Below are 12,030 nucleotides of genomic sequence, written 5' to 3'. Positions count from 1 at the left end.
TGCAGGTGACAGACAGACATTAGTACCCAGTAAAGCCCCAAATATTGGATAGATACCCTTATTTGTCCTGGAGCCTCTCTGCCTGTTAAGAATTTGATTACCTTGCCCAGAATCATTTAGATTATTTGGCTCAACAAAACTTGGCTTATGAACCGCACCTCTAAGTTCCCAAGCATGTTTCAGGAAAGGTTTGAAACAAAGCTATTAGATTTGTACTAAAACTATTCAAACTGGAGACTTGTGGTAAGCCATGCCTTGGAAGACAGGATATTTATAACTCTCTGACCACTCCCACCCCTATATTGGGAGATGAGGGTTCTAAAAACAGTCTCTCTGAGTTTCTGGAGAAGGAGATCAATGCCAGTAGTCATTCAGGTGACCAGTATCTGTCTGAGTCTGAATGCAGTTACAAAACTGCACCCAAGGAAGAGGTCAAGGATGGCAACAGAAAGCCCAGGCTGTAGATCGGTCTGAGGGAAGTCTGGGGCCTGAAACCTGCATCTCTGCCTGTAAAGCCAGAAGTCTGGGAATATCAGGAGAGGACCCAGAGGAAAGGAAACAGGAAATTACAAAGAATCAGGGTAGAACAGGAATTCGCCTTTGATCTGGCATATAAGAGAGGAGATCCCTCCCATTTGGTGCTTTCAGAGAATTGTACCTTTATGAAAGTCTGAGTTAAAAGAGTTTCTGTTGCTCAGAAGCGTGTTAGTAGTGCTCAAGAGAATTTCAGTTAACTCTACGGTTAAATCTATGCCAAAAGTTGCCAGAGATATTCAGCTCATGAAAGCCCAGCAATCACGAAAGAGAGCAGGTCGATAAATCAGAGGATGCTGTAGTTTCACTGGCTGTCTTGCCTTTTTTTGTGGGGAGGTGGGGCAGCAGTACTGTAGTATGAGAGGAATTACACCTGCAGTGAAGTGGAGGAAATTATTTGAAAAGTGAATAATAAAGCCAAAAAGCCTGTACTATTTGCAAGTTAAAATTTTAAACTGTGAGTAACTTTAGAAATGTGTATATTTTAACATGTTCTGTTAATGGGCAAAAAGCTGTGTTTTCTGAGAAAAACGTGACATTTAACTATTTACAATTTCCACATTAAAACCAATTTGATTTGAGTACCTTTTATAAAGAATGCTTTTAGGCCGGGCGCGGTGGCTCACGCCTGTAATCCCAGCACTTTGGGAGACCGAGGCGGGCGGATCACGAGGTCAGGAGATCGAGACCATCCTGGCTAACACGGTGAAACCCAGTCTCTACTAAAAATACAAAAAAAAAAAAATTAGCCGGGCGTGGTAGGGCGCGCCTGTAGTCCCAGCTACTTGGGAGGCTGAGGCAGGAGAATGGCGTGAACCCGGGAGGCGGAGCTTGCAGTGAGCCGAGATCACGCCACAGCACTCCAGCCTGGGCGACAGGCGAGACTCCGTCTCAAAAAAAAAAAAAAAAAAGAATACTTTTGATGTTTCATTAAAAATAATTTCTTTTGTTAGAATCCTTGACCGGGCGTGGCAGCTCATGCCTGTAATCCCAACACTTTGGGAGGCCAAGGTGGGCGGATGGCTTGAGGCCAGGAGTTTCAGACCAGCCTGGGCAACATGACAAAACCCCGCCTCTACAAAAAAATACAAAAATTAGCTGGGCGTGGTGGCATGTGCCTGTAGTCCCAGCTACTCAGGAGGCTGAAGTGGGAGGATCACCTGAGCCCGGGAGGCAGAGGTTGCAGTGAGCTGAAACTGCACCACTGCACTCCAGCCTGGGCAACAGAGTGAGGCCCTGTCTGAAAAACAAAAAACAAAAACAAACAAAAACAACATAAAGAATTCCCACCCTCTTTTTTAAGTGACTATGAGTTCCATCAATTCTCCATAGTGCAGTGGTGCAACGGCTTGGGAGTGCTGAAATGAGGCTGCAGGAATGGAGTGTCTAGCCTTGGTTCCACAAATTCCAGGATCCATGGCATCCACTTGCAGCATGAATTTTACAAGAAAATTTTAAAGGATGCCTTCCAATTTCTTTTTCTCTTTTTTTTTTTTGTGTGTTGTTTTTTGTTTTTTTGTTTTTTGGGTTTTTTGGGGGTTCGTTTTGAGACGGAGTCTCACTCCGTCACCCAGGCTGGAGTGCAGTAGCACGATCTCGGCTCACTGCAACCTCCACCTCCCGGGTTCAAGCGATTCTCCTGCCTTAGCCTCCCAAGTAGCTGGGACTACAGGCATGCACTACCATGCCCAGCTAATTTTTTTTTTTTTTTTTTTTGTATTTTCAGTGGAGATGGGGTTTCACCATGCTGGCCAGGCTGGTCTCAAACTCCTGATCTCATGATCCACCCACCTCGGCCTCCCAAAGTGCTGGGATTACAGGTGTGAGCCACCGTGCCCAGCCCCAATTTCTTAAATAATAAAAATACGATTAAAAGTTAGTCATGCAATGAGTGTCTCATATTAGTAGGAAGAATAATATTGTTTGCAATATTTTATTTTATCACTCTGCCACTATACTTCTCTGTGTTTCTCTCTTCTCTTGAAAATTGCTAGTAATAGTCCCTATCTCAGGGTTGTTGTGAGGATTAAATTATGTATATAGGCCGGGCGTGGTGGCTCACGCCTGTAATCCCAGCACTTTGGGAGGCTGAGGTGGGCAGATCATCTGAGGTCAGGAGTTCGAGACTAGCCTGGCCAACATGGTGAAACCCCGTCTCTACTAATAATACAAAAATTAGCCGGGCATGGTAGTGCACACCTGTAATCCCAGCTACTTGGGAGGCTAAGGCAGGAGAATCGCTTGAACCTGGGAGGCGGAGGTTGCAGTGAGCCAAGATCGCGCCATTGCACTCCAGCCTGGATGACACTCCATCTCAAAAAAAAAAAAATGATGTATATAAAGTGCTTAGAACATTGTATGGCATATTGTAAGTGTGCACTCTTTCCATTTATTATTTCTCTATAACTGAGTTGAGTATATGAATATATAATATACATGTATCACTCTTTGACTCAATCACTTGAATCATTGATTAGGTGGCTTCACATTTACTAAATTCATTCCACATCAATAAAATATAATTCCTTATCATTTTAATGGCCACATAGTATTCTATTATATAGATGTACTATTTTGATTTAACCAGCTCCTACTGTTGGATGTAGGAGTTTATTTCCACTGTTCTGCTATTATATATTTCTTTCTCTTTTTTTTTAATTTTACATTAGTTTCTTAATTAGACCCCAGGTGAACTCATGTTTTGCTCTTATGGTCAACACCAAAATTTAAGATTATATAAACATCACTGGGCCCCTGTCCGATTTTTTTTTTTTTTTTTGAAACAGAGTGTGGCTCTGTCACCCAGACTGGAGTGCAGTGGTGCGATCTTGGCTCACTACCACCTCCACCTCCCTGGCTCAAACCATCCTCCCACGTCAGCCTCTTGAGTAGCTGGGACTACAGACACGTACCACCATGCCCAGCTAATTTTTGTATTTTTATTAGTGACAGGGTTTTGCCATGTTGCTCAGGCTGGTCTTGAACTGCTGAGCTCAAACAATCCGCCCGCCTCAGCCTCCCAAAGTGCTGGGATTTCAGGCGTAAGCCACCGTGCCCAGCCTTCAATTTTTAAGTTTTGAAAATTAATCACATATTTATTGTTTAATTTTTATCTTAACTATGACATTCCACAGATTTGCTCATGAGAAGTTTCATGGTGTGAAGAAGCTCTGGGCTACATGAAGACTATTGGCCGTTTTTATTTTTATGTTTTTATTTATTTATTTATTCATTTGAGACAGAGTCTCGCTCTGTTGCCCAGGCTGGAATGCAATGGCATGATCTTGGCTCACTGCAACCTCTGCCTCCTGGGTTCACGCGATTCTCCTGCCTCAGCCTCCCGAGTAGCTGTGATTACAGGTGCCCGCAACCATGCCCGGCTAATATTTTGTGTTTTTAGTAGAGACAGGGTTTCCCCATGTTGGCCAGGCTGGTCTCTAACTCTTGACCTTAGGGGATCCACCTGCCTTGGCCTCCCAAAGTGCTGGGGATTACAGGTGTGAGCCACCCCGCCCGGCCCATTTTTAGTTTTAAAGCATTTCCATATGGCCTGTGGTCTGTTTGGAAACAAGACATTTACAAAGTCAAGGAAATCATAGTTTGTGTGATCACCCAGGAACCTTGTAGGATATACAGATACTACTGAAGAAAGATAGGAAGGCACTTATTTTAACTCAGAGTCCACCTGACACTCTTAGCAACCCCCCCCCCAAATTTCATTCTAAATGCAATAAATTCATTTTAATGTCTTGATTTTTAATCGAAGCAAAAGCAATACATGTGTATAGTTTTTAAAAATCAAACAGTAGAAAAAGGACATATAATGAAAAGTAATAGAACTGTCCCTCCTTCTCAACTCTTGCTTCCCCAAATCAGAAACACAAACTTCTACACGTGCTTGTTTAGAGATTACACCCCCTTTTTCAATAACATGCCTTTATTACTATTTCTTGACTTAATGACATGAGGCATTTTCTGCTGACTTCCTGCCGCCCCCCTCAGCTCTCCTTCCCCCTGAATATAGTCATATCACTAATTTTTAACTCTTCTGTTGGCTACCTGGTTCAATGAATAGCAAAGTGGAATGCTCTGATTGGATTTTCTCATCACCGACTCCAGAGTCTTGATCCATGTGCCAATATTCAAACAGATTCCCTTTCTCACACTTTCGGCAACTGTTCAAAACCATGCCACATCTGAGGTTGCTTCATATGTGAAACATAAGTTTCTTGCACAGTTTTTAATGTTCTTCCCTGTAGTTTCTTTCTGTCATTTTTTTTCCTTTGGGTTGAAGAAATGTATGCCTTCCAGAACATGTTATTAATGTCCTCCAGCTTATTATTCAATCCATCTATTGCTTAGAATTCATCTCATTCAATTGGGTCTATTCACTTCGTTTCTAATTGGGGAGATTTGCCTGCTGTCTGAGCCATTCTTGTTCAGTTTATCTTTCCTTAAGTTTTTAGTTACCTTTCCCCGTTTTTTTTTTTTATTGCATTCTGTGCCCATTGTCATTTCCTAAAGTTCGTGCTGTTTTCTGTTTTACGGATGCAAAAACTTCTCAGATATTTTTAAGGATTTTCAAATTTTTAAGCTGTATTCTGTTCCTTCAAATATTTCCTTGAGAGTCAATTTTTCATTCTATCTTAGACGATTTGGGTTATATTTCAGGCTTTCCACAAATGCTGTTTTTTTCTTTTTTTGCCACCCATTTATACTAAAAGATGAGGCAATGGAAAGAATGAGTGGCAAGTCTGCATGCAGGAGCGGAGTTGGTCGCTTTGCTCTAGGGTGGGTGAGCAGGTGGGTGGAAGTCAGCCATCCTGACGAGGAGCCCCCAAATGCCACAAAGTTAGTGGCTCTAAATATATACCTGCAGGTGGACGTTGAGAATCACCGAGGCCAGAATATAGAAGTAAAAGAAGTTCTTGCGCAGCCGCCAGGCCAGGTCGAAGAAGGTGAGCAGCGTGCGCGTGAGCGTCTTGCAGAAGGCGCCGTAAGAGCCGCGGGTCCCCTGCGGGCGCGACAGCCGCACCGCCAGGCCAGACAGGGCCGCCGCCGCCATGGACCTGATGCTGCCTCCCACATAGTGCCCAGAGCCCAAGGCCTCCATCAGGCTCCGCTGACTCACCGACCGTGGGACAGAGGGATGGACGCGGGAAAGTACGGGCGGGAGGCCTCCTGGGCTGCTGCTGATCCGAGCTGCGCTGCAAGGCGGAAGCCCTCCTTTCCCGGCAGGGCTCTGGCCCCAGCGGTCACTGGCGCCCTGCCAGGTTCCGCCCCGCCCCACGGGGTCCGCGTGGCCTAGAGTCAGTTTAGCCTAACTGTCCTGGCCCAGGCCCCAGAACCCCAGGAAGGGCAGGGCACGTGCTGACGTGGGAGACCTAGCTTCCTAACCCGGGCTGTCTTTTCTTTAAAATTATGTTTAATTTTTAAGTTTTTTTCAGTTTTTTAAGTTTTAACAAAAGGAACACAAAACTTGCTCAAAACGATATAAAATGTCCTTCATAAGCATGATCTTGAGCAACTCAGAAGCACAAACCCATTTCCTGTTGTCTCATCCCTTTAGGAACGTTTTTCAATCCTCAACTCTTGAGCTAGTACAAATATACAAAACCCGCAACTTTTCTGGACATTAAAATGTGTGCATTCTGCTTGAATAATTCAAGCAATACTTCTGTTTTTGTGTTAGATCTTTCGTATTCTTCTGATTGGAAAAGTCATTCAATCAAGTTTTTAGAAATTTTCAAAGCAGAAATATGTAAAACAATAGAAAGCAAATTCCCTGCATAGCTTCACTTTCCCCTCCTACCCTTGCCATGAACTACTATTACGTTTGCTGTATCTACTTCCCGACTTTATGTATTGATATATTGCTCTTACCTTTTCAAGAATGTACATCTACTTCACTCTCTTTGATGACTGAATAGTGATCTATGTACATGTTGACTAATAGTGGTCAATAATTTATTTAACCAGATCCCTATTGATGGACATTCTGAATGTTTCTAGTTTTTCATATGTCAAAAATTGTTTCAGTGAACATCACTGTACATATGAATTTACAAGTGGCAGAACAGTAGGAATAATATGACCCCATCTTTGTTTATGAAAACAATTACATATACATATACATTTAGTGTTCAAAGCCAAAACGTTTTACTAATACATGCGATTGATCAAAAAAGTTTAGAGATCAGGGCTCTATGTTACCTTGAGTGTTAACAATCTTAATTTTTTTATTACCAATATGATAGGCAGTACATTTCATTATTCTTCTAATTTGCATTCATTTAATTGTCAGTGCAGTTGAGCAACTTTTCTAAATTTCTGAAGTTTTCAATATTGTTTTTCTGATGGCTTGTAAAACATTAAACATCATATTTATTATGAGAAAAGTAAAATTCCTAGGCTCATAACCCCCTAGAGAGAAAGACTACTAATTTGTATATGTTTTTATCAATTGTTTGCGTATATTTATAAGCACAAACATGTATACGCACATAGATATATTTACAAATCGTAAAACAAAAATGGAATCAGATAAACATATGCAGTCCGGGCGCTCACGCCTGTAATCCTAGCACTTTGGGAGGTTGAGGCAGGCGGATCACCTGAGGTCAGGAGTTCAAGGCCAGCCTGGCCAGCATGGTGAAACCCTGTCTCTACTAAAAATACAAAAATTAGCTGGGTGTGGTGGCACTCGCCTGTGGTCCCATCTACTCAGGAGGCTGATGCAGGAGAATCGCTTGAACCCAGGGGTGGAGGTTGCAGTGAACCGAGATCGTGCCACTGCACTCCAGCCTGGGTGACAGAGCTAGACTCGGTCTCAAAAACAAACAAACAAAAACCAAATAAAACCAAACAAACAAAACAACATATGTCCCCACCTTTGCTTTTAAACATAATGATATGTCTTGCATATGTTCCCATGTTGATACTTTATTGGCTGTGTGTTATTCCTTATGGATGGCCAATAATTAACTGATCTCCTGTTGATGGATTTTTGGATGGTTTCAAATTTTTCGCAATCATAAGCAATGCTGAGATTAATATTTTGCATGCACATCATTGTACACCTTTCTGATATTTTCCAGGGATACATTCATAGAAGTGGAATTCTTAGCTCAAAGGGTTTTCATGTAAGGATTTTGATACGTATTGTCAAACTGCCTTCCACTAGCTTGTACTAATATACACATGAACATACCGTCAGCAGTTCCTAACAATTGGCATTCACATTCTTTTAATCAGTTGACATTCTGATAGGTGAAAAGGGTATCTCACTGATGTTTTAATTTGCACGGTTTGATTACTAGCAAGGTTGCTCCATTTTAGCCAATGTCTCATTAACAAGGCAAGTCACAGAGCAGATTCAAGAGAAAAGAAATAGATCCACGTATTAACAGTTCATTTTTATGTGTATATAGCATTGCACATCTCTATGAAAGGAACCACTCTGTCAAGTTTTGCCGTCTTACCCGGCACAGTGGTGCTTATCTGTAGTCCCAGCTACTTGGGAGGCTAAGGTGAGAGAATTGCTTGAGCCCAGGAGTTTGAGACAAGCTTGGGCAACATAGCAAGACCCCCATCTCTAAAAATAAATAAGTAAATTAATTTTTTTAAAGTTTTGCAGTCTTAATTTTAATAGCTATTTCCAATTCCTATGTAAAAAGTTGTTCCAGGCTGGGCGTGGTAGCTCACACCTGTAATCCCAGCACTCAGGAGGCAGAGACAGGAGGATTGCTGGAGCCTTAGGAGTTTGAGAACAGCCTGGGTAACATAACGAGACCCTATCTCTACAAAAAAAGTAAAAAATTAGCTGGACACGGTGGCACAGGTCTGTAGTCCCAGCTACTCAGGAGGCTGAGGTGAGAGGATTGCTTGAGCCTGAGAGGCTGAGGCTGCAGTGAGGCGTGATTGTGCCACTGCACCCCAGGCTGGGCAACAGAGCAAGACCTTGTCTCAAAAAAAATAAATTAAATGAAAAAGTTATAACAATTCCCACTCCCTCAGGCAATTTACAAAGCTGTTCATTTCTCCACACCCTCACCCATATTATTATGTATTATTTTAATATCATAATGTAAAATAAAATAATCTTTCTAATTATTATTATTATTATTATTTGAGATGGAGTCTCGCTATGTTGCCCAGGCTGGAGTGCAGTGGTGCAATCTTGGCTCACTGCAAGCTCGGCCTCCCAGGTTCAAGCGATTCTCCTGCCTCAGCCTCCCAAGTAGCTGAGATTACAGGCATGTGCCACCACACCCGGCTAATTTTTGTATTTTTAGTAGAGACGTGGTTTCACTATATTGTCCAGACTCGTCTCAAACTCCTGACCTCAGGTGATCTGCCCACCTTGGCCTCCCAAAGTGCTGGGATTACAGACGTGAGCCACCACGCCCGGCCCTAGTTATTTTGAATTTACCTATATTTGATTACTGCTGTGGATTAATATTATGCTTATTGGTCATTTGTAGTGGCGTCAAAAGGAAGGAGAGCCAGATGGGTGGGATGACTGGTGGCTACGCAGAAGGCTTACAACTAGGCTGTGGAAACCCCAGGGGCGGTGGCTGTGACAGCAAGGAAGAGGGCTAGGCAGCCTTCTCCTTGCCTTTTCATATCTCCCTGCCCCTCATATTGCCTAGGCCTTGGCCCCTTTGCTCATTTCTATATTAAAATGTTTGCCTAGGCCGGGCGCTGTGGCTCATGCCTGTAATCCCAGCACTTTGGGAGGCCGAGGCGGGTGGATCACGAGGTCAGGCGATTGAGACCATCCTGGCTAACATGGTGAAACCCCGTCTGTACTAAAAATACAAAAAAATTAGCCGGGCATGGTGGCAGGCACCTGTAGTCCCAGCTACTCGGGAGGCTGAGGCAGGAGAATGGCGTGAACCCAGGAGGCGGAGCTTGCAGTGAGCCGAGATCACACCACTGCACTCCAGCCTGGGCGACAGAGCGAGACTCCGTCTCAAAAAAAAAAAAAAAAAAAAGTTTGCCTAAGGCAGACAGAACAGCACAAGCAGCCTAAAATTGATAAAATCCCAACCAGAGCCCTGGGAGAGAAATAGAGTGGTCAAAATGGCCTAAAGTAATGCATTAAGCAAAGGAAATGCACCCTTCTCTCTCATGCTAGACACCAAATATGAAACAGTAGAATTAGGTCAAAGTTCTTCTCTTTGGAAAATTATACAAGTCATCTTTTGCTCTTCTTTCTCACGGTAGAGTGCATATGCCTTGATTCTTTTGTCTGAACCACTCACTCTATATATACGGGAAGAGGCCAGGCATGGTGGTTCACGCTTGTAATCCCAGCACTTTGGGAGGCCGATACAGGAGAGTTGTGTGAGCTCAGGAGTCCAGAACCAGCTTGGGCAACATAGGGAGACTTTGTCTCTATTTCAAAAAAGAAAGAAAGAGAAAGAAAGAAAGAAAGAAAGGAAGGAAGGAAGGAAGGAAGGAAGGAAGGAAGGAAGGAAGGAAGGAAGGAAGGAAGAAAAAAGAAAGAAAGAAAGAAAGAAAGAAAGAAAGAAAGAAAGAAAGAAAGAAAGAAAGAAAGAAAGAAAATAAATAAATAAATCAGCCACTCGTGGTGGCACATGCTTGTAGTAGTCCCAGCTACTCAAGAGACTGAGGCGGTAGGATTGTTTGAGCTTAGGAGATCAAGGCTGCAGTGAGCTATGATCTCACCACTGCACTCCAGGCTCGGTGACAGAGCAAGCTTCTCTCTCTCTCTCTCTCTCTCTCTCTATATATATATATATATGTATATATACACACACATATATATGTTATTTACATATGCTTATGTATGTGTGTACATATATACATACATATACATGTACATATAGGAAGAATATAGTACATATACGTATAATTTTTTGCACTGCTACCATTGATCTATAGATAGTAGATTAAAATGTAATCTGAGGTTGTTGTGGTGCAAGATACTCAATTGAACACAGGTATTTACCTTCCCAAAACAAATAGAAACAATTATAAAGAAGTATAAATTCATTCATAAAAGCAGTGGAGAGGGTGAGGATGGCAGAGCAAAGACTTTGATAGCTTCCTGAAATGAATGCTGAGTGGATCAAACTGAAAAATAAATCAGAGTATACTGCACCAATGATTCTCAGGAAAAGGCTGCAGCATAGGTGGAAGCCATTTTCATGGAAGAAGCACCCTCTGCTCTCCAGGTACAGAGAGTGGAAGTGGGAGGATCACATAAAATCAGATGATTATTTGAAGAACTATTTGGATCTATTTCTTTTCTCTTGAATCTGCTGTGTGACTTGCTTTGGTCAATGGGACATTGGCTAAAATGGTGCACGCAAAAGCTGGAAAAGTGCTTTTGCATTGGGGCTTGCTAGTCTTGGAAACCTGCTGCTATCATGCAAACAAACCAGATGTCGAGAGATACATGCTCCAACCATCCCTTTTGGCCCAACTCATGGCCAACCAATCCCTAGAAGTAGTGTCACTGAAACCAACAGCAGCAGACCACAGACATATGAGTGAGTTCAGCTGATGCAAGCAGAAGACTAGCCCAGCTGAGCCCAGCCCAAATTGTCAACCCCCAACAATCGTTAACTAAATAAATGGTGGTTGTGTAAGCTTTCGGTGGTTTGTTTCACAGCAAAAACTAACTGATAACCATGTCCCAGAATAGAGCTACTGAATGACAATCAAAATGGCTTGACCCACAGTGATCTGTCATGCAATTAATTAATCATAGGAACCCTAGGACTGATATACAGACTTGATCTGCTTAACCAAAGGAATTTTGGCAAACAGAAAGTTGGGTCACCATGATAGAGTGTCACAGCTCCTCAGTTCATATACCCAGATTCCCTAGAATAAAAGGGAGACTGAGTACCTTGAGGAAGGATGCTATGGCAACATTGCAATTATGTACTATAAATATTCCCAGCTATCCCCAGAAGAGGTCTGCAGCAATTTACCAAGGTAAATGTTCAAATACACGCACTCTTCGGGGATTATGGGACAATAGCTCTGAGCTGCCACTAATCCTGGGAACTCGGAACAACACTGTTGCCCACAGTCAGAGTGAGGGCTTGTGAAGATCAAATGATAATTGGAGTTTTGGCCTAAATTCAACTCATGGTGGGCTCAGTGGGTCTATAAATCCACTCTGGTGATTTCCCCAGTTGCTGGATTTACAGTTGTAATCAATAAAACTAGCAACTGGCAAAACAGCTCAATTGGCTTCCTGACCTGCAGAGTGAGAATCTTTATGATAGGAAGGGCCAGGTGGAAGCCTGGAACTTACTCTCCCTTCCAATTATAGCAGTGATAGCAAACACATGCATAGCACTTATTACATGCCAGACACTCTTTCAAGCACTTTCCATATGTTAACATATTATTCCTCAAAACAGCACTACAAGGTAGGTACTATAATTGTACACATTTTACAGAAAAGGAAATTAAGGCATTAAAAGCTTAAGTAACTTGCCCGAGGTCACTACT

At 42.6% G+C, this 12,030-nt stretch overlaps 1 protein-coding gene across 1 annotated transcript; it reads right to left on the bottom strand.

Moving 5' to 3' along the window:
- Positions 1–4,269: 4,269 nt before the first annotated feature.
- Positions 4,270–5,752, bottom strand: SMIM10 (small integral membrane protein 10). Its single transcript, NM_001163438.2, has one exon. It carries the CDS (start codon positions 5,645–5,647, stop codon positions 5,396–5,398), a length of 252 nt encoding a protein of 83 aa, NP_001156910.1. The 5' UTR covers positions 5,648–5,752; the 3' UTR covers positions 4,270–5,395.
- Positions 5,753–12,030: the final 6,278 nt, after the last annotated feature.

The sequence above is a fragment of the Homo sapiens genome, chromosome X (genome assembly GCF_000001405.40).
Source record: "Homo sapiens chromosome X, GRCh38.p14 Primary Assembly".
Lineage (NCBI taxonomy): Eukaryota > Metazoa > Chordata > Mammalia > Primates > Hominidae > Homo > Homo sapiens.
The sequence above is the reverse complement of the archived record's forward strand: the minus strand, read 5'-3'. Positions and strand labels throughout refer to the sequence as shown.

Coding starts and splice junctions, on each gene's coding strand:
- SMIM10 (NM_001163438.2), bottom strand. CDS start 5,647: ATGGAGGCCTTGGGCTCTGGGCACTATGTGGGAGGCAGCATCAGGTCC.